Genomic DNA, 21,413 nt, shown 5'->3' with positions numbered 1-21,413 from the left:
CTACCACTTAATAAACATTGTGTACCATGGGCTTTACGTACATTACCTCATTTAATTCTTACAATAACTCTGTGAAAGACACTGTTATTATTTCTATTTCTAAAGATAAGGAAATAAGGCTCAGAGAGATTAACTATCATACCCAAGGTCATACAATGAGTAAATGGTGGAATCAGGATTCAAACCCAGGTCTGTCAGACTCCAAAGACCACATTCTTAGCCATTAAGCAACACCGACTCTCCTCTGGATAGGACTGGAGCTGAACTGGTTGGGAGGAAAGGTTAAATATGGTCAAGATATTCCTGAAAAGAGAAACTGGTTCCATGTATGAACCTGAGTTAGAGAAGTGTCTCAACCTGGGGCTATTTTGGCCCCCAGGGGAAATGTGGCAGTGTCTGGAAATATTTTTGATTGTCACAACTTGGGGATTGCTACTGGCATCTAGTAGTTAGAGGTCAGGGATGCTGCTGAACATCCCATGCACAGGACAGCCCCCACAACAACTAATTATCTGGCCCAAATGTCAATGGTGCTGACGCTGAGAAAATCTAGCTTAGAAAGACTTTGTGGGTATACTAATCTAGCCCCTACGATCAGCTAGAGGCAGATGAAAGAATAAAGAATACTGGGACACTGACAAAATCAAAGTACATTAGAGTCTAAATTATGTCTCATTTTGAATGCAGAATGTTTTAAATCAGTTTCACCTCATTCTGAACCTAACACTACTTCCCGTAAATTTTACCAGGATAATACTCTTCATATTTTCTATACAGAAGAAAAAATACTTAACAACTAATGGCGTTTAAAAGCCTTTCTAAGTAATTCAAACAGACCCCCAGCTTTCCAGGTTAACTAAGAAGTGGAAAAGAGGCATCTGTTATCTCAGCTGAAGAAGTGTAGATAGGAGGCTCCTCTTTTTTTTCTCTTTTTTCACCTGAATCTGACCATGGGATTCAAAAGCTTAGTGAGAAGTTACAAAAGTGAGTGCTTTTTTTCTTTTTTAAAGTGATTTCCTATTTCATGAAGGTGCATGATAAAGAGAAAACGTTATGAATAAACATGAGATAAAAAAGGGGTCAAAGAATAGCGCTACCAAGTCAACAAATGAAGTAACAAAAATCAACAATTTACAATGTTACTTTCCCCTAAAAAACTTAAAGAACTTTCTTGTTAAAAGAGAGTAAAACGCTACTTTGCCTAAGAAACTATACATTCTTCACGCTAAGCTCTACTTCTTTTGTGTTTTCTTCTCACAGTGGAGAAATATGTCATATACACAATGGTAGTTTTACAAAGTGGTTGCCCAAATGACTGAATGACACTGAATCTCTCTTCTGGGTAAATACTGGAGAAGCTTTATTAGTGCCTTCCAGCTCAAGAGAAAACTGAGGTACCTAGAAGCTGAAGCTTAAATAAGTGATGCCAAAACAATTGAAAAAATAGGAAAGTCAAGACAGGACTTAGAAATGTATATAGATACAGATATACATGTTAAATATATATTTATAAATATATATTTATAGTCAAGATAGGACTTAGAGAAAGCCAAGATAGGACTTAGATATATATATCTATGTACATATACATATGTAAATGTATGTATATCTATATATCTATGTCTTAGACATATAGCTACACATATATGTATATATAGATATGTATACATAAAGATATACATATACATACTTCTATCTATATATAGATAGGCAAATGCAAACTATGGGGAAAAACTGAAAAGTCTAAATTCTCAGTTCTGCAAAGAACATTCCACTTTACTTTGAAAAACTAAACACTGAAGTCACATATTTAGCTCTGCTCCCTCTGACAGCCACACTAAAATAATAGGAAAAAAAAGGTTCTAAAATGATTATCATTTAGGTATAAATTGAGAAAAACAAAAAGAATGGAAGCTGAAGCCGAAAAGCAGGTAGGCAAACAGTAACTCATCTACTTGAGTCCTAAACCAAAACTAGAGTGAGCCAGGAAGCAGCCAGATTTATATCACAGAAGCCCGAAGAGAAATAAGTAGCAGTGGGATGAAGGTAGAGCTAAACACAAAATAAGCTATTGAAAGTCTGAGAACAGGCCGGGCATGGCGGCTCATGCCTGTAATCCCAGCACTTTGGGAGGCCCAGGCGGGCGGATCACGAGGTCAGGAGATTGAGACCATCCTGGCTAACACGATGAAACCCCGCCTCTACTAAAAATACAAAAATAAATTAACTGGGCGTGGTGGCGGGTGCCTGTAGTCCCAGCTACTCGGGAGGCTGAGGCAGGAGAATGGCATGAACCTGGGAGGTGGAGCTTGCAGTGAGCCGAGATCACGCCACTGCACTCCAGCCTGGGCAACAGAGCAAGACTCCATCTCAAAAAAAAAAAAAAAAAAAAAAAAAAAGGAAGTCTGAGAACAGTGAGGCCCCAAGATCCCCCTCCCATTGTAGTGGAAGACTAGATGAGAGGTTTATTCTGTTAGAGAGGGTCCATGGACTAGGGGATACAAGGTTCAGCTGAGGATAGGGGTATACTGAACTTCAACAGGAGGATTAGCTGAAGTCTATGTTAAATTTTGAGATGGTCTAGGCCTCTTCACAACTCAGCTCCCAGACATGAGTGGGAGATCAAAAGTGTGATCTCTCGGCAATCTGACCATCCAAGATAAGAGACCTAGAAATACTAAAGTTGGGGCTTCCACAAGGACACAGCCCAGTTAGAACACCCTACTGTGAAGGCCACAGCTGACATAGAATCTTTTAGTGCCTCACTTTAAAATGTGAATAGGCAGCTAAGAATGACCAGGCATTTAAAGGAAATGTCTAATATGAAAGACCAAGACCAAAACTAGCAATTTAGAAGAAATATTATACAACAAGAAGAAAAGTTTGAAAACAATATATCCATAATAGCCCTGGAGAGATAAATGAGAAATAAAACGATACTGCATCATGAAACAAAAGTTGGATGCAACAAAAAAGGGAACATGTAGAGAACAAGAAAAGAGTTCTTGGCAATAAAGATTCAATTCAAGTATCTCTTCAAGGAGCCTGACTTCATCCCTGTCCTCTGTGCAGACATGTAAATGAGTTCTTGTCACTTCATTTTTCACTTGATGCTTTACTTTTCTGTCTCTCCCTATTAAAACTAAACGCCTTGAGGTCAGAAACATCTCTTATTTGTTCTTGTCTCCCTAGTGCCTAGTGCCAGAGTCAAATAGGCAAGCAGAGTTGAGAGACTATTAAGTGCCATTGTTTCAAGGGAACAGGTGCTAAATACCAGTCTGAAGTAGCTCTGCCAGCACACAGCCGCTGCTCCAAGCCAAGGGGATGTAAATTTAGGGGGAGTACAGAAGCATAAGGCCTCTGGAATAACAACAGCCCCAAAGTGTCCCAAAGCCTCTTTTTTCTCAATTCTAGAGCTTCCTTGACTCTTCATACTCAGCCAATCCACACTGGCTTCAGTGCCTCCATGTACACTCCTTCCTGTGGGGGTTTGCTGGGTTTTTCCAGACACGACCTCTGAGTACAACTGAGGCAAAGAATCCCAGAGTTCTTTGGGAAGCAGTGTGTTCTGACTTCAAAGGCATTCCCGGTGCATCAGTCAGAAAATGAAAACCACTTATGCCATGGCTTACATACAAGCCAGCTCATTATGGGGGGAAAACACGTGGAGAAGAATGCTCGCTAGGATTGCTCTCTGAATAGCAGCTGTGGGAAGCAGGCCCCAGCACAGAATGCCAAGTCAGGGAAATCAAAGGCCCTTCAGGCAGAAAAGAGGAAGGTGCAGAGGGGCAGCTGGCCACTCATGGCGGCATTCTGGGCCCGGTGCCCAAAGGCATCTTTATTTGGGAACACCTGGGTCCTGCTCCTTGGATCATCAAGGTTCAAAGGTACTAAAATTACCAACCCTTGGATAACTAGTCCCCTAAAAAAAGGTATTCATGGGCATTAGGAGCAGATGTGAAGGACATGAAAAAACTGGGTGGGTTTCTTATATCCTTGGTTTCCTTTTTCCAGTGACCCCAAATAACTTCTATTGCCTACAACGTCATTGAAATGAGAGGCCCTTCCCTGCCTTCCTGACAAGCAAATAATGGGAAAGCTCCTTCTAAGAAACTCTCCCTTGTTCTCTTCTTGACTCCTCAAAGGTGTGCATACAGCAAGCAGCTTCCCAAAGCTAGCATGTAACAGTCCCAGCTTCCCACCTGATAAAACCACTCTCCCATGCAAGGTGACCAATTAACCCTTTTTAACCTAGAACTTTTCCAGTTTCATCACTGACAATTTCATGTCCCAGGAAACTCTTCAGTACTAGGCAAAGAGGGACAGTTAGTCACCGTAATCCCATGGTGCCTTATTCAGACCAGTCCTAAACCTATCTTAATCTCCAGAAGAAATAATTCTATTCTCTGAACTGCTATTTTTTTTTTTTTTTTTTTTTTGAGACAGAGTCTTGCTCTGTCCCCCAGGCTGGAGTGCAGTGGCACGATCTTGGCTCACTGCTAGCTCTGCCTCCTGGGTTCATGCCATTCTCCTGCCTCAGCCTCCTGAGTAGCTGGGACTATAGGCGCCCACCACCATGCCTGGCTAGTTTTTAATACATTTTTAGTAGAGATGGGTTTTCACCGTGTTAGCCAGGATGGTCTCGATCTCCTGACCTCATGATCCGCCCACCTCAGCCTCCCAAAGTGCTGGGATTACGGGCATGAGCCACTGTGCCCGGCTATTCTCTGAACTTTCTCTTTTTTTCCTTTTTCTTTTTTTTTTTTTTGAGACAGTCTCGCTCTGTTGCCCAGGCTGGAGTGCAGTGGCACGATCTCGGCTCACTGCAAGCTCTGCCTCCCAGGTTCACGCCATTCTCCTGCCTCAGCCTCCCCAGTAGCTGGGACTACAGGCACCCGCCACCATGCCCAGCTAATTTTTTTTGTATTTTTAGTAGAGACAGGGTTTCACCGTGTTAGCCAGGATGGTCTCGATCTCCTGACCTCGTGATCTGCCTGCCTCAGCCTCCCAAAGTGCTGGGATTACAGGCATGAGCCTGGCTCACTGAACTTTCTAATGGCCTACAGACTCTGGAAACCTATTTGATCCTTAGCTATAGCCTAATATTTCAGGAAGTATAACTCACCCAACTACTCCACCCCCTAGGATATAGAAATACCAGTGCATGGAGTGTATGCAGACACCAAGGTCATAGAGGTTTGGGGTATCCCTCAAGCTCATACAGCTAGTAGTCAAGACAGGGTAGAATCTAGGCTGCTTAATTCAGGAGACTCTAGTCACTAGACCAGCATTTCTCAATCTTGTGGGTCAGAAGATTGTCAATGTCTCTGTATTGACATTGTGGGTCAGATAATTCTTTGTTGTGGGAGCTGCCCTGTGCACTGTAGGATTTTAGCAGCACCCCTGGCCTCTAGATCATTAGATGTCAGTAGCACCTTCTACTCCTCCAGTTGTGACAATCAAAAATGTCTTCAGGCATTGCCAAATGTCCTCTCGGGGTAAAACTCCCTCTGCTTAAAACTCCATTTGGACCAGAATGTTTTGACTTCTCTGAAACTTCCTAGTGCCTCTACTCTTTTTTTTCCCTCTTTCCATTGCCTACTAGAGGAAAACATCACATTTTAATTTTGGCCTTTAACAGATTATGAAGGTGTATTCCAGCTCACCTTATGGCAGGGGATACCACACTCAGGCAATTCTCAGTTTGAACATCAATGGGAAGATGTTATGCTCTATGTTGACCATGGCCTCACAATGGCCAGTAAAGTAGTTGGCGAATATTGGGCTGTCTTAAGTCTGCAGTCAGAGGTAGCAGCTCGGCCCTCTGCAGACCAGAGAAATAAGTTCCAAGGTTTTCTTCCTCACTCAAACACAGCTTACGCCCTTTCACTTATTTTTTTTTTTTTAAAGCACAGCATATGAAGAGACATAGGACCCTGGGTAAAAGCTAACAGATCCTTAGACAGTAGTCTTCTTCTGCTGCCTTGAGTCCCACTGAAGAAGTGGCAAGGTTTGTTGGTTATCCAAACTACTCCTCCCCAGAAACAGCTGCAAATAGTAGAGGGTCAAGATGCTTACAGGAAAATAAAAGAATTTATACAATGACTACATGTGTCATTTTCTATCTTAGGGAATTCTCTGCTAGGAGAAAGGAGTAATAGCTCTTCTTGGCGCTTAGAAATTGATCTAAAAGAGCAGAAGTAAAGCATTAAAAAGACAAGGTTCAGGAAACCCATCCAGTCTGAAAATGGCTCACATCGATGTGTTTCTATTTTTAAAACCTCTTAACTTCATTTGAGAGAAATGAAAACTTGGGAGTTGAACGAAAGGTACCATCTATCTATGCTTGGCTTCAGAGCAGAAGTGTCACAGAGTAGAAATTCAAAACAAACTGAACATCTCTGGAGATAAGTCAGATGACTACTCTACCCTATTTACTTGCTTAACAGTTGCCATGACAAAATGGCCACACCTAGGCTTCTGGATCAGCAACATCTGATCCCAAATGCCTGTCATGCATGTCACCACTGCCTGTTCTGTGAATTAAAAAAAAAAACAAAGGAAGAAAAGAAAAGAAAAAATGCAGCAAATAAGCAAGTAAACATCAGAAATCAGTATCACCTTCAAACAGGATGGAGAAACCCTGGAGAATGACATAGTAGGCTGGCACATCCAAGCTGGAGAAGGGGCCCCTGAAAGGCATTAGCTGTATAACTTAAGTATTCCCTGTATAACAACAGGAATTTCCTTGGTGTGTATGTGTGTGAGTGTGTGTTTGTTTTCATTATAATTAGAAAAACATGGCTGGGGAACAACCACCACCACCACCTCTCTGCGCATGAATTAACACGCACCAGCCACAGGCATCATGTGCCTGAAGCGCCAGTCATCTCAGAACAGATTGTGTTCTCTTCTCCAAGCCCGCAGCCTGCCTCGTCACTGAGGTTTGGCTTTATAAAACTCCAGGAAGCCAGGCAAAGCTCTCTCTGCTCAAACTGGTCCCTCTTACTGGGGACATTTAGGACTCTGTGCTGCCCTCTAGAGCATTTGTTCTAGTCTCAAAGCCATACATCAATCCAAGATCTGATGAAAAACCTAGAACAATAAAGGCTTTCCGACAGGCACATATTAATAGTGCAATGCAGGCTACGTTCCTTGCCATTAGTTCAGGGTCCCTGGTTTGCTGCTAACAGGGTCCATTGTGCCAATGACCTAGACTTTGGCTGGTCTCTAGTAATTATGCCCCAAATAAAGCCAGGGTGAGCTTGCATAGCTGAGGAGAAAACTTATTTTGAGGAAGTATTTTTTGACTCATTCCGTTTTGAAAAGACGAGTGTGAAAAAAGAGATGGGTGGGGTCACCCCCAGTGGGGACCATGCACTTGTCCTCAACCTCAGTTCAGTTCTGTTGCTGATGTACTATGGCTGCAAGCTGCCAAATGCTGCTTCCCTCTGCTTGTTAAAGAGCCAAGCAACCCATCTGATTTACCGAGTAGAGCTCGTTCAGGACCTTCATCAAATCATCTTGGAGCTGCTGGCCGACTTCTTTACTCTGCAAGGAAAGAGGAATGAAGGTTAATTGGGAAACAGAAGAGAGAGGAGGGAGCAACAAAGGCAAAAGCCACACTGGCTCTACAAATAACCCAGACTCAATTAAGGCCCATTATTTAACCCAGCAAATCAGATAACCACTCCAATCAGACCCAATTATGGTCAGATTACTCAAAGAGTTTTAATAAAATGAAATGTGCCCTCTCTATAGCCTAGCAAAGGCAATTGCGTAGAGGGAAAAAGGGTGGTAGCCTTTGGTTTTTCTATTGGTCCCCAAAGAGCAGGCCTGAAAGCCACATCCTACCTAGCAACTGTTGTTAGGTGGAACACGGTTTCTCAGATACTTGCAGTCAAGCATTCCAGAAGATTTCAAAGGAAAGTAAGATGTGTAATGGGATGAAATAGGAAAAAGTATATAAACATTTAGGGACTTCAAAGTCCCTAACTAAATAGAAAACTCCAAGCAGGATGGAACTATATTTCTTACTTGCTTTATTTCTACCCAAAACTCACAAGGCAGCGGTATCTCAATATTGACTGCCTGTGAGATTAGCTGTTACTAGATGCTGAAAATATATGTTAAGGGGTCTCCAACTAGTTAATCTTGAGCAGTGATGGCTCCTGGGTTCTTTGCTGCTGCCACCCAGGGCTGACATCTAACTACATAGAGCAGTAGAAATAAAGAATGAGGGCTGGGCACGGTGGCTCACACCTGTAATCCCGGCACTTTGAGAGGCCAAGGTGGGTGGATCAGCTGAGGTCAGGAATTCGAGACCAGCATGGCCAACATAGTGAAACCCCATCTCTACTAAAAATACAAAAATTAGCCGGGCCTGATGGCACACGCCTGTAGTCCCAGCTACTCAGGAGGCTGAGGCAGGAGAATTGCTTGAACCCAGAAGGTGGAGGTTGCAGTGAGCCGAGATTGCACCATTGCACTCCAGCCTGGGTGACAAGAGTGAGACTCTGTCTCAAAAAAAAGAAAAGAAAAGAAAAGGAAAGAAAGGAGGAAGCAGGAAGGAAATTGTCACACCTTCTATACTAAGTGTTGTATGCCAAACCTAAGAGAGCTAAAACTGATTGGCAGCATGGGTCATTGAGAGGGAAAGCCCTTGTTTTATCTTTTGCCAGCTCCTTCTAGATCTTTCCTACCAGAAATTCGGGTATCAAAATGCCACCCTAACAGAAGTTATAATACTGTTTCCCATCCCTCCCACCATAGCTGCTAGCTCCCAGGCAAAAAAAGGAAGGACTTTCATGTCAGATACACAATCATTTAAGATCTTGCTTTTTTTCAAGGTACATACATCTCTACTTAAAAAATACTTTTTTTTCTGATTACAAAAGTAATGTATGTTTATTATAATAAGGAAACTAGAAAACCTCAAAAAAGAAAACAAAAGTAACTCTTAAATTCCTACCACTAAGAAATCACCACTCTAAGTGTTGTTATGTATTTTTCTAATCTTTTCTAGTTTTACAAAATTGGGATTGCATTATAAATCCTGTTTTGTAACTTATTCACTTAAACATATGTTGTAAACATTTCCACATGTATTATTGTTCTATAGCATTATAATACGTTCTATTGATGTAGCTCCCATTCTTGGACATTTACTTCACTTCTAAATTTTTGTGATAAAAAATGCCATATCACATTACTTTGTATATGATCTAATGCACACACCTTTCATTATTTTCTCCTAGAAATAACATTGCTGGGTCAAAGACTACCATTTATACCACTAAAATGCCTTTGAGAAAAACGGTACCAATTTAAAATACCACCAATAGCATATATGAATGTTTATTTCACATTTTTTTGTCTTGACAATTTGATGTGGTATCCTATTGTAATTTGCAATCCTTTGATTCTAATGAGCCTGAGCATTTTTAAAAATGTTTATCAGTCATTTTCATTTTTCTTTTATAATCTGCCATTTTCTTATTAAGGTGTTCTCTGCCCATTTTTCTATTAAGGTATTCATTATGGAATATAACCTATGTGTGGCCTCTGTCATGAGTAAGCATGAATTTTTACATCTGATAGTGGGGAAAGGGGTGGAAGGAGCCCTAAATTAGCAATCACAAGATTCTCTTTCTATTCCTGGCTCCTGCATTACCAAAGAGGTAACTCTGGACAACCTGGTTAACCTCTCTGGCCCTCTGTTTTCCCTTCTATAAAATGAAAAGCTTCAGCTAAAACATTTCTAAAGTCTTTTCCAACCTCTGCCATTCTATGATTCTACATGATCTTCTGCCTGGCTTCTAGAGTCCATATTAGCTTCAAACATCCCTCCCTTTAGTGTATGGCTGGTTGGCTAGAAGATAATGAGCAAGTTCTCCTCGGGGACCCAGATGCTCTACAAAATGGACGGGTTCAGGGGATCTTGCCAGTCTTAAATTTATCATTCCAGGGTCTCTCATCCAATGACCTCAACTGCTGGAAGAAGCCACAAGAGGGAATGCCTTTCATCTGTGATCTCACATACCAGCCTGTCCTTTCCATTGAGAGGAAAGCTGAGCTCCACTGAAGCAACAGAGGCCCAAGGAGGTGAAGTGAGGCAACATGACTCACTCTGAGCCCCAGAGTCAGCAACAGGGTCAGGAAGTGACCATGAGTATCACTTCCCACCGCCCTGCCCTCCTGCCTCCGGGCCATCTCCCCCTGCCAGCCTATCGTTTCTTAACTCCTCCTTATGTTTGAATGGCAGAGGTTAAAGGAGAAAGCTCCTATTCCTCTACCCTGTTGCTTACCCATGACTTAAATAACCTAGCCCCAGAGTGGGGGATGGGGGAAGAAGGGGAGGGAAAAGTGTAACCAAAAACAACAGCAATTAAGCCCAGGCAGATGTTTCCTTTCATGTACTGATTAGTTGGGAGGACCACTCAACTATTATCCCTGTTTATTTGAACAGGCTGCTGAAGTGATCTGACTTACTGCTCCCTCTGGCTGAGGGTTGGGCTGGGACTACATGTGTAGCGAGCCCACTTAAAATGTGCAATACAGCCTCTAGCAATCAGGAGAAATTCTGACACTAGGCCAGAGGCAGGAAATTGCCAGTGTCTCTCCTTTCACAGATGATAAAAGGCCATTCGTTCTCTGTTTCAGAAACCTTAACTGTGTGCCTTTGGGGGAAAGCGTGGCCCCAGGAAGGGCTTCCGTGCTGGCCACTGCAGTGGGGTTGACAGAGCTGGTAAGCCACAAGGGGGCCCCACCCAAAGACAAGGGGGACATTTATTCCTGGGAACAACAAAACCTGATGAGGCCGAGTACATGACAATGAAGACTGTAGAGCTTTTCCGTTCTCTATAAAAAGGCAAGGGGTTTCTAGACAGGGAAGAAAAAGAATTTACAGAGCAGTCTTTGTGTACTAACATACAGCCTGCATCTCTTTTCTTTAAAATTTCTTGGAAGAGAATGAGTCATCTCAACATTGCAGGAAACCAAATAGAAGTTGGGGGAAAAAATTACTTTGGACAAAGTTTTTCTCTTAAATGTTTGCATAGTAATCTTTGCCTGGAAAAAAAAAAAGATGCCTAAATTTAGAATAGAGATGTGGTACAGTTAACAATGCTGGTTCTATCGGATGGGAAGTGTGATGGTGTGCTCAGGCTGGGATCTCTTATTTTGAAACTCACCACAACCATTTGGTCAGAGTGCTTCACTGGCCTCCACTCTGACTGCTGCCGAGTGGCTGATCAGAAGACAATGAGATTGCAACAGCTCCTACCAGTTGTATGCTGACAAAATGGGTAGGAAAGCTTCCTTTTTCCAACAGATAACAGCATTGGAAACAGAACTGAAATGCACTGTGTCATCTCATCTCCCCAAGACAAGACTGTAATGTTCCAAAGCCTCCTTGCTCACAGAAAGGATGTAACAGCAGATATGTACGGAAACATAAGGATCCTAGGCATCCGGGATGCCTGGCCACTGGGCTGGTCACTCTTCCTTAGACCTCTTTAAATCAGTACATTTCCTGAGCTTGGATGGGTTTGTCTATTAGCGTTTCCCAAAGAACACCAATTATGAAAGAGGTTTCAGACCTGTTCTCAATAGGGAGGTTACTTGTTACCGATTCTCTAGTTATTTAGATCAGCACTCATGTGCTTTCCAAGTTGGGGGTGGGACTGTTGTTAATTGGTTATCTACATTTCAAAGCTGTATTTTTTGACAGGCACAAAAGTACCCCCTATTTGTAAGAAAGAAGAATAAAAAGAGGAAGGCATGTCTCTGCCATGTGGCGAGAGCTCATTTCAGCCCCATCCCAAGGCTGAGCCTGTCAGCAGGTAGGAACAGTAGGGCCATTTAGTTCTCTGCCATTTAGCCTGTGTCAGCAGTTTTCCAAAAAAGAATCCAGTTTTCAAGGGCACATATCTCCCCAACAACCACTACTATCCCCTCCCCACCCTAAAGATTGTTCAGAGACCAACTGTTAAAAAAAAAATCCAGTTTAAAACTGAATTTATGTTACAGATTTCAGAGGAAAGGAACATGACCCTGTATTAAGCTCTGGCAGCAGAAGCACCACCATACATAAGGTGGTGGTTTCAGGGGCATTCACTAACCACTTCAAAGAGGCCACATTTCAGGAGCTGGCACTTTGCCTGAAATGCTTTTGGTGGGGAGGAGAGGGCTAAAAGGAATGACTGTTTGGTAGCAGGGCCAGTGCTAGGTGATGGTGGGCACTGTGTCTGGTCCTCTCTCTCAGCTAACTTGGGCCACCAAAATAGGTGGTACAGTGTGAGGCTGTATGCCGAGGCTCTGGGGGTTCAGGGGGTGATGATCCAGCAGGTCAGAGCTCAGAAATGACTTCTAGATTTCCCCTCCACCATACTACCTGCATATATGCAAGCAGGGCTCTTTCTATTCAGCATTCATTCATCAGTGAGGATACCATGAGACGGCTCTGAGAAAGACTGAACTCCAGTTAGGACCTTAAACTATGAGAAGCCCAAGGATGTATAAAACACAAATATACTTAATTGCAAAACTTTTATAGAGAGGTAGGCTAGGAGATACCACAACAGGGACACCAGAGGTGCTTTTGCCTTCTGAAGATAGGTAGACTAGGATGTTCAAAAAATACATTTTTTATTGCAATACAGCATAATATGTGTCTATAATAAAAGTACTTATGTGTCCGGAGTTGGTTCCTTCTGGTGGGTTCTTGGTCTCACTGACTTCAAGAATGAAGCTGTGGACCTTCGCGGTGAGTGTTACAGCTCTTAAGAGTGCTGATTGGTGCATTTATAATCCTTTAGCTAGACACAGAGCGCTGATTGGTGCATTTTTACAGAGTGCTGATTGGTGCCTTTACAATCCTTTAGCTAGACACAGAGCGCTGATTGGTGCGTTTTTACAGAGTGCTGATTGGTGCATTTACAATCCTCTAGCTAGACAGAAAAGTTCTCCAAGACCCCACTCCACCGAGGAAGTCCAGCTGGCTTCACCTCTACTTATGTGCTGTCCACTATGATATTTCCTATTCTTTTATCTTTTTTCTTTTCTTTCTTTCTTTTTAGATACAAGGTCTTGCTCTATTGCCCAGGCTAGAATGCAGTGGCCTGATCATAGCTCACTGCAGCCTTGAACTCTTGGGCTCAACTGTCACGTGATCCTCCTCCCTCAGCTTCCCATGTAGCTGGGACGACAGATGTGTACCAACATGCTGGTTAATTTTGGTAATTTTTGTAGAGATGGGATCTCACTGAGTTTGCTCAGGCTGGTCTCAAACTCCTGGCTTCAAACAATCCTCCTGCCTCAGCTTCCCAAGTAGCTGGTAACAGGCATGCTTGGCTAATTTTTAAAAAAATTGTTTTCAGATATGGAGTCTCGTGATGTTTCCCCAGGCTGGTCTCAAACTCCTGGCCTAAAGATCCCTCCACCTCAGCCTCTTAGAGTAGCTGGGATTATATTCTCGAGCGACTGTGCCTGGCCTTTTCTATTTTTTTATATTGGTCATAACTCACTACATTTATTTTACAACTCATTAATGAGTCATTATACACAGGTTTAAAAAGACTGGTTACATACAAAAGTCTGTACTTGAGGAATTAATAAAGAAAATAGTGGTTTAAGGACTGGAGCCCACTAACTTATTTAGACAGGAGCTAAAATAACTTGCCGTCTTGAAGTGGCTGATCAGATGTTTCAAAGCAGGTTCAATTATTGAATGCTGGCAAGGGAGAAATGGCTGGATTTTAGGGAGTGAGCAATAAAGAGTCCATCAGCAAATATTTATAGAACATCTATTAAGTGTCAGGCACTTGTGGTCTGAATGCAAAACAGAAAGTTTAAAAGTTTACAACCTGTTGAGAAAGATGGACATTAATCTAACGTCTGGGCCCATCAGAATGCAATTCTTCCAATCTCAAAGGTATTACTAGAAATGGAATATCTTAAGTTAGTTTTTTTAGTTTAAGATCAATTTTTTTTCCTGTCCCAGCCAAGAGGTTTCCACACCATAACCTAATTCCACAGCAAGCTAGATATTGAATCTAGCTTGCCAAAAAAAAAAAAAAAAAAATCTGATTTCAAAAAATCCAGCTATTACATAGTAAATTCTTTTTCTTTGAGTTTGTCTTTCTAAGTTACTAATGGATATTTCAGGTTATAATGATCCAGCTTCAGTATTAGTGACTCCCAAAGCAGTCACATTCCATTTTTAAAGAACCCCTTGAGCTTGTAAGCACCATAAAAAACAATTTCACCAGAAGCTCCTTCACTCAGGAGTTAATGGATATAAACTATCCTAGTGACAAGTTATATTTTAAAAGAAAATGTCAGAAACTTGACTAGTCTAAGGCCCAATACTTGTTTCAGGATTCCTCTTCTGGAATATGAATAGTTTTTGAATTTGATTCCTGTTTAATTATCTGAAAAACTTAGTCTAAAAAAATCTCAAAGCAACTACAATATGAAACCATCTAAAGCTAATGGAAGAGATAGGTTTTAACTTTTTAAGCATTTTTCTGAATCCTCTGTGGTACCCAGCCCATTGCTTTGTGCACAGTGGCCATAAAATAATCAGTTGCTGAATCAATGAGATCAAAGTTTAAATACTATGCTTTCACATAATGACAAGAACTAAACAATATAGCTGCGTTTCATCATATAAATTATTAAAAGTGGAAACTCCATCAGAGGTTAGCCACAATGAGCTCCCTTTGGTTATGGTTCACCAATGAGCCCTAAAAGTTGAAATGACTTTTCCAGGGTCAGTAGCCTATCAAGGACCACATGCAGTATTAAAAGAGAGCTGAACATGCAGGCTCTGGAGCAGGAATTGAATCCTACTTCTACTCCCCAATTGATGACCTTGGGTAAATTATATTTAAACCCTCTATGCTTCAGCTTCCACATCTGTAAAATAGGATAATAAGAATAGTGAGATAATCCACATAAAGTGCTTTAAACAGAATCTAGCACCTAGCCTGTTCAATAAATGTTGGCTAATATTAATATTAGAATCCAGCCCCCTCAACACTCACTTGAGTGTTCTTTCCGCCGCACTATGCTGCCTCCTTACGTACTCTCAAACATGTTAAAGATGCTATGTGGAATTGCGAAGGTCCTGGAAACTACTTCCCAGGCAGGATTGTAGCTGAATTCCTCCAATGGGCTCTGTGGGCCCGAAGGGAAGAACGTTCTCTGTTTTTCCTTATGCCTGCTGTTGCATAATCTTTTTCTTCCCCAGTTTCAGTAAGAACTAAATGACTCTGTAAGAAATAATTCAGCTTTCCTGAGGAAAGAAAACAAAAAAACAAAACTCCCAAAACGAAACAAAGAAAGACGATAAAAAGTGCTTAGCAGAAAGGAAGAAATGATGAAGGTAGGGGTGGCAGAATGAAAATAAGGAGGATACAATTACCTTCTATTCCTCCAGATAGATTAAACAGAAAAGATCCTTCTTGGCTGTACAACTAGGATATGGTTCGACTGTGGGCATAAAGGAAACATCCAAAGGAAGGAGCTCCCCACTACCTAGGTCACAGAATACCAAAACCACCCATCAAGTTCTGGTTCAGTGAAATCCAGGACCTCTCTCCTCTAGGACAGAAATGGCTTTCTGAAAGCCATTTCCTTACGGCTTTTCCAGAAGCTCTGGAATGTGTGAGCAGTAACACTTGATAACCCACAAGTAATGCTAGTGGCCCTGGGAGGAAATCCATTCCTTGGCATGATGTGAACTTTGTGGACTCAGCTCCTACCCTCTGTGAATGCTCACTAACAAAGCTCACTTTGGTCCCTGACCAAAGTCTCTTGTCAGGGACAGGCATACTCGGGACAAGGGTGGGAGTTCAGGGGAGTTCAGGGTGGGGTCAGGAAGAGGCTAACGGCCCTCTGCTCTCCCAGTCTGAAACACAGTCCTATAATAATCTGAATGTTCTTCCATGGTTGTTCCAATCTCTTTGAATGACCTATCCTAATACTAAGAAAATAAACTCAAAACAACATCCCTTAAAACAAAACAGACAATCAAATCTAAGCTTTCATTTCTTAAACTACCACTGTGATCTTTGTCTTGGCAAATTTCCATCTTTTACCCTTTTGGATAATGATTTGAGTGGGGGCGTAATGTCTTCAGGCCCTGATCTCTCATGCCAAAGCATTTCTTGAGGTCATTCTGAAGATGAGTGATCACCCCATTTCCCAAGCAGGACACTAAAAGCACAGAGTAGAAATGGTATCTAGGTGACTGTGGGTATCCTTGAGTAGACTGGGACATAAGGGACAAAAGACACAAAAGCAAACAGGCAGCACGAGAGCACAAATCTCTCAGCAGCTGTAAAATGAACTAAGGAGGAAAAACAATCAATGGCTTGGAACTGGGAGAGAATCGGGGGAAAGAGCCAGAATGATAAGGTACTTGAAAACATATGCCCTTCTACAATAAGGAAATCTATGAGCTGGGGGATGGAAAGAATGCCTGTGTGGCTCCCAGATGGCTGAGCCAGGCGGAGGCTGGAAGAACAGGAGTTAATAGAGCTCATCTGAAAGTTGGAAGTGTGAATGCCAAGAGGAGGAGGGCAGCCTGGTAGGAAGTAAAACAGTCAGCAGCACTCGTACAGGAAATGCCTGGGGCACTGGGAAAATCGCTGATTAAATACTTTTAAGAAAGAGGAACCCAGCAGCAAAGCCAATTCATCGAGAGATCTGTGTAGTTTTAGAACACTGGGAGTAGCCTTTAGAATCGAGAGGAAGAGGCTCCAGTGAGTTATGAAGACAGCATTTTCTTGACACCTCAGGTGCCAGGGTTGGACCTAAGAGGAGCACAAAGCCAACTTTGGGAGAATGAGTAGAGCCCTTTACTGACAGAAATTAGAATGCATTGCCTAGGGACTGGGATGAAGATTTGAGCCTGTATCAGCTTTCTTCAGCTACAATGGTGGTTTGAAGCCTCTTGTCTTTGTCCACAGTAAACACATGGGTAGCCATTCCCATTAGTCATGGCCTACATACAGTTGAAAAAAGAAAAATCAATATTCTTGGGGGAGGATACCTTCCCTCTTGGCCAGTACCCCACTCCTACTGAAAAATCATGGAATTGTGAGAAAAAGAAGGTAGACTTTGGAAATGGAGATTTCCAATCTCCAGCTCTAATTTCTCCCCTAAGCTCTTCGATTTTTCCTCCCCATTTCAGGTTTAAACTTTGTAAATGTTCCACGTACACTTGAAAAGAATGTGTATCTGGCCGGGCGCGGTGGCTCACGCCTGTAATCCCAGCACTTTGGGAGGCCGAAGCGGGCGGATCACGAGGTCAGGAGATCGAGACCAAGGTGAAACCCCATCTCTACTAAAAATACAAAAAAAAAGTTAGCCGGGCGTAGTGGCGGGCGCCTGTAGTCCCAGCTATTCGGGAGGCTGAGGCAGGAGAATGGCGTGAACCCGGGAGGCGGAGCTTGCAGTGAGCCGAAATCCCACCACTGCACTCCAGCCTGGGTGACAGAGCGAAACTCCGTCTCAAAAAAAAAAAAAAAAAAAAAAAGAATGTGTATCTACCCGCAGTTGTCAGGCGCAGTATCCATATATGTCATTTAGGTCAAGTTTGTTGTTTTTCAACTCTTCTGTATTTTTACTGACTTTTTTGGTCTAGTTGTTTAATCATTCACTGAGACAGGTGTGTTAAATCTCTCATTGGGGTGATGATTTATCTAGTTCCCATTTTAATTCTGTCCCATTTGATTTACATATTTTAAGCCTATGTTATTAAGTATATATTTCTTCCTGGAAACTTAGTCTTTACTAGGAAATGTCTCTCTCTCTTCTTTTTTGAGACAGAGTCTCGCTCTATCACCAGGCTGGAGTGCAGTGGCGCCATCTCGGCTCACTGCAACCTCCGCCTCCTGGGTTCAAGTGATTCCCCTGCCTCAGCCTCCCAAGTAGCTGGGACTACAGGTGTTCACCACCATGCCTGGATAATTTTTTGTATTTTAGTAAAGACAGAGTTTCACTATTTTGGCCGGGATGATCTCGAACTCCTGACCTCAAGTGATCTGCCTGCCTCGGCCTCCGAAAGTGCTGTGATTACAGGAGTGAGCCACCATGCCCAGCCTGGAAATGTCTCTCTTTATAACGAAAAATACTTTTTGCATTGAAATCTACCTGGACTGCCTGGGCACGGTGGCTCAGGCTTGTAATCCTAGCACCTTTTGAGGCCCAGGTGGGCAGATCACTTGAGGTCAGGAGTTTGAGACCAGCCTGGCTGACATGGTGAAACGCTGTCTCTACTAAAAATACAAAAATTAGCTGGGCATGGTGGCGCATGCCTGTAATCCCAGCTATCTGGGAGGCTGAGGCGGGAGAACTGCTTGAACCCGGGAGGCAGAGGTTGCAGTGAGCTGAGATTGCACTACTGCCCTCCAGCCTGGGTGACAGAGCAAGACTCAGAAAAAAAAAAAAAAAAAAGAAAAAAAAAGGACAGAAAGAAAGAAGTGGGGGGGCAGAGAGAGAGAGAGAAAGAGAGAGAGAGAGAAAGAAAAGAAAGAAAGAAAGAAAGAAAGAAAGAAAGAAAGAAAGAAAGAAAGAAAGAAAGAAAGAAAGGAAAGAAAAGAAAGAAAGAAAGAAAGAAAGAAAGAAAGAAAGAAAGAAAGAAAGAAAGAAAGAAAGGAGAGAGAAAGAAAGAAAGGAATCTACCTGGCCTGATTTTATTGTAGCTATCTTTTCCTATCACTTTGCTTTAAATCTTTCTTTATCCTTATATTTAAAGTGTATCTGTTCTCTTACAAGCAACATACACTCTAGTTTTGCTTTTTAAAAATCTGTCTTTAATTTGCATAAGTCAATTTACACCTTATATTATGGTTTAAACCCACCAACTTGCTAATTGCTTTCTATTTGTCCTGCCTCTTCTATTTTCCTCTTTCCTCTCCTTTCCTACCTTCTTTTTTTCTTCCATTTACAAAACATTCAGAAAATTCACTCTTGTTGGCATACAGTTCCATGTGCTTTGGCAAATGCACAGAGTTGTCTAACCATCACCACAATTAAGACACAGAACAGTTCCATCACCCACCAAAAACCTCTTGTATCCTGCACCTTTAGAGTCAAACTCTCCGCTACCCTTAACCACTGGAAGCCATTGATTTGTTCTGTATCTCTATAGTTTTGCCCTCCCCAGAATTTTTCTTTCCTTCTTTTGAGTTACTTTTTTATTAACTGAATTTGTCCCTTTCTTAGATTGGTACAATACTATTCTTTGAGTGGTTACCAAAAATTACAACATATATCCTTGAATTGCCAACACCTAATACAAATTACTACTTTTACCACTTTCTGAAAATATCTTTAAACCCATTTCCCTACCCCCACCCAGACACAGATTCTATTGTTGATTTCATTGTTGCCATTTATATTAATTTTATACATATTTAAAACCCCACAGGGTTGGCCTGGTGTGGTGGCTCATGCCTGTAACCACAGCACTTTGGAAGTCCAAGGCAGGAAGATCACTTGAAGCCAGGAGTTCAAGACCAGGCTGGGCAACAGATAGACCCTCTCTTTACAAAAAATAAAAAATAAGCCAGGCATGGTGGCACACACCTCTTGTCCCAGCTGTTATACTTGGGACGCTGAGGTGGGAGGATCATTTGAGCCCAGGAGTTCAAGGCTGCAGTGAGCTATAATTGTGCCACCGCAGTCCAGGCTGGGCAGCAGAGCAAGACTCTGTCCCTCCCACCCACACATCTAAAAAAGGAAAACCCCACAGATGATTATTAGTGTTGTTTTTAACAGTGATTATTCACTTAGATCTATATTTTTTTTCTTTTTTTTTTTGGAGACGGAGTCTCACTCAGTTGCCCAGGCTGGAGTGTAGTGGCATGATCTCGTCTCACTGCAAGCTCTGCCTCCCGGATTCACGCCATTCTCCTGCCTCAGCCTCCCAAGTAGCTGGGACTCCAGGTGCCCGCCACTATGCCTGGCTAATTTTTTTGTATTTTTAGTAGAGATGGGGTTTCACCATGTTATCCAGGATGGTCTCAATCTCCTGACCTCGTGATCTGCCCGTCTCGGCCTCCCAAAGTGCTGGGATTACAGGCATGAGCCACCGTGCCCGGCCAATCTATATTCTTATATATAGTTTCTGTTGCTCCTCATTCTTTACTGCACTTCTAAGATTCTATTTGGGATCATTTTCCTTCTGCCTAAATAATGCCATTTAGTATTTCTTTTAGTGCAAGTCTGCTGGCGATATATTTTCTCATATTTTTCTTGTCTGAAAACATCTTTAGTTCACCTTCATTTTTGAAGGGTATTCCTTTCTACACTTTCATTCCACTGTCATCTGCTTTCCATTGCTTTTGTTCAGAAGTCAGCTGTCAACCATGCTGTTGCTCCACTGAAGATAATACGTCTTTTTTACCTCTAGCTGTTTGTATTTTCTTTGTATTTCTCCTGTTTGGGGCTCATAATGCTTCAGTCTGTGGCTTGAAGTCTTTTATAGTTTAGGGAAATTCACAGCCATTATCTCTTCAAATATTGCTTCTATCCCATTCTCTTTGTTCTCTTCTTCTGAGACTTCAAGTAGAAGCATGTTAGGCCTACTTACCCTATCCCATAAGTCTCTTATGCTCTTTTCTGTATTTTCCATCTGTTTATCTCTCTGAGCTTCAGTATGCATTGTTTTCTGACGTTTCAGTTCATTAACTATTTATTCAGCACCATCTAATCTGCTACTTGATCTACACATTGAGCTCTTTTAGTTACTGCATTTTTTGTACTAAAATTTGTTTGATTTTTTTAAATTATTGAGATATAATTCACACACTGTACAATTCACCACTACAGGGTACACAATTCAGTGGCTATTAGTATATTTGCAAGGTTGTACAACCACCACCACTAAGTCCCGAATATTTAATCATGCCAAAAGAAAACTCAAACCTGTTAGTAGTCACTCCCCATCTCTCCTTCCCCCAGCTCCTAGCAACCACTAATCTACTTTCTGTCTCTATAGATTTGCATACTCTGGACATTTACTATAAATGGAATCATATAATATGTGGCCTTTTATGTTTAGCTTCTTTCACTTACAATGTTTTCAGGGTATATCCATATTGTAGCATGTATCAGCACTTCCTTCTTTTTTATGACTAAATACTACTCTATTGTATGGACATGACACATTTTGTTTAAATTGTATAGGTATGCCATACTTTAAGTTTGTTCCATAAATCACTTCATTAACATTTGGGTTGCTTCCACTTTTTGGTTATTTATTTATTTATTTATTTATTTATTTTGAGATGGAGTCTCGCTCTGTCGCCCAGGCTGGAGTGCAGTGGTGCGATCTCTGCTCACTGCAAGCTCCGCCTCCTGGGTTCACGCCATTCTCCTGCCTCAGCTTCCCCAGTAGC

At 42.0% G+C, this 21,413-nt stretch overlaps 1 protein-coding gene across 18 annotated transcripts in view, besides 1 other annotated feature; it reads right to left on the bottom strand.

The window, feature by feature from the left end:
• Positions 1-21,413, bottom strand: part of SRGAP2 (SLIT-ROBO Rho GTPase activating protein 2) — a 260,896-nt gene that overhangs the window by 72,872 nt on the left and 166,611 nt on the right. For all 18 annotated transcript variants that reach the window (XM_011509354.3, NM_001377444.1, NM_015326.5 and 15 more), the window contains one exon: positions 7,489-7,551. In XM_011509354.3, the coding sequence (XP_011507656.1) occupies positions 7,489-7,551 (63 nt within the window). The remainder of the gene's footprint in view (positions 1-7,488; positions 7,552-21,413) is intronic.
• Positions 10,100-11,007: an enhancer, noted in NCBI's record as "NANOG-H3K27ac-H3K4me1 hESC enhancer chr1:206553913-206554820 (GRCh37/hg19 assembly coordinates)". NCBI's record gives its function as "activates a minimal SCP1, AML or CMV promoter by ChIP-STARR-seq in naive H9 embryonic stem cells {active_cell/tissue: H9 hESC(naive)}" and the evidence as "EXISTENCE:reporter gene assay evidence [ECO:0000049][PMID:30033119]".

Source organism: Homo sapiens, chromosome 1 (assembly GCF_000001405.40).
Source record: "Homo sapiens chromosome 1, GRCh38.p14 Primary Assembly".
NCBI classification, from domain to species: Eukaryota; Metazoa; Chordata; class Mammalia; order Primates; family Hominidae; genus Homo; species Homo sapiens.
Note: the sequence above shows the minus strand (reverse complement) of the source record. Positions and strands in the feature narration are given on the sequence as shown.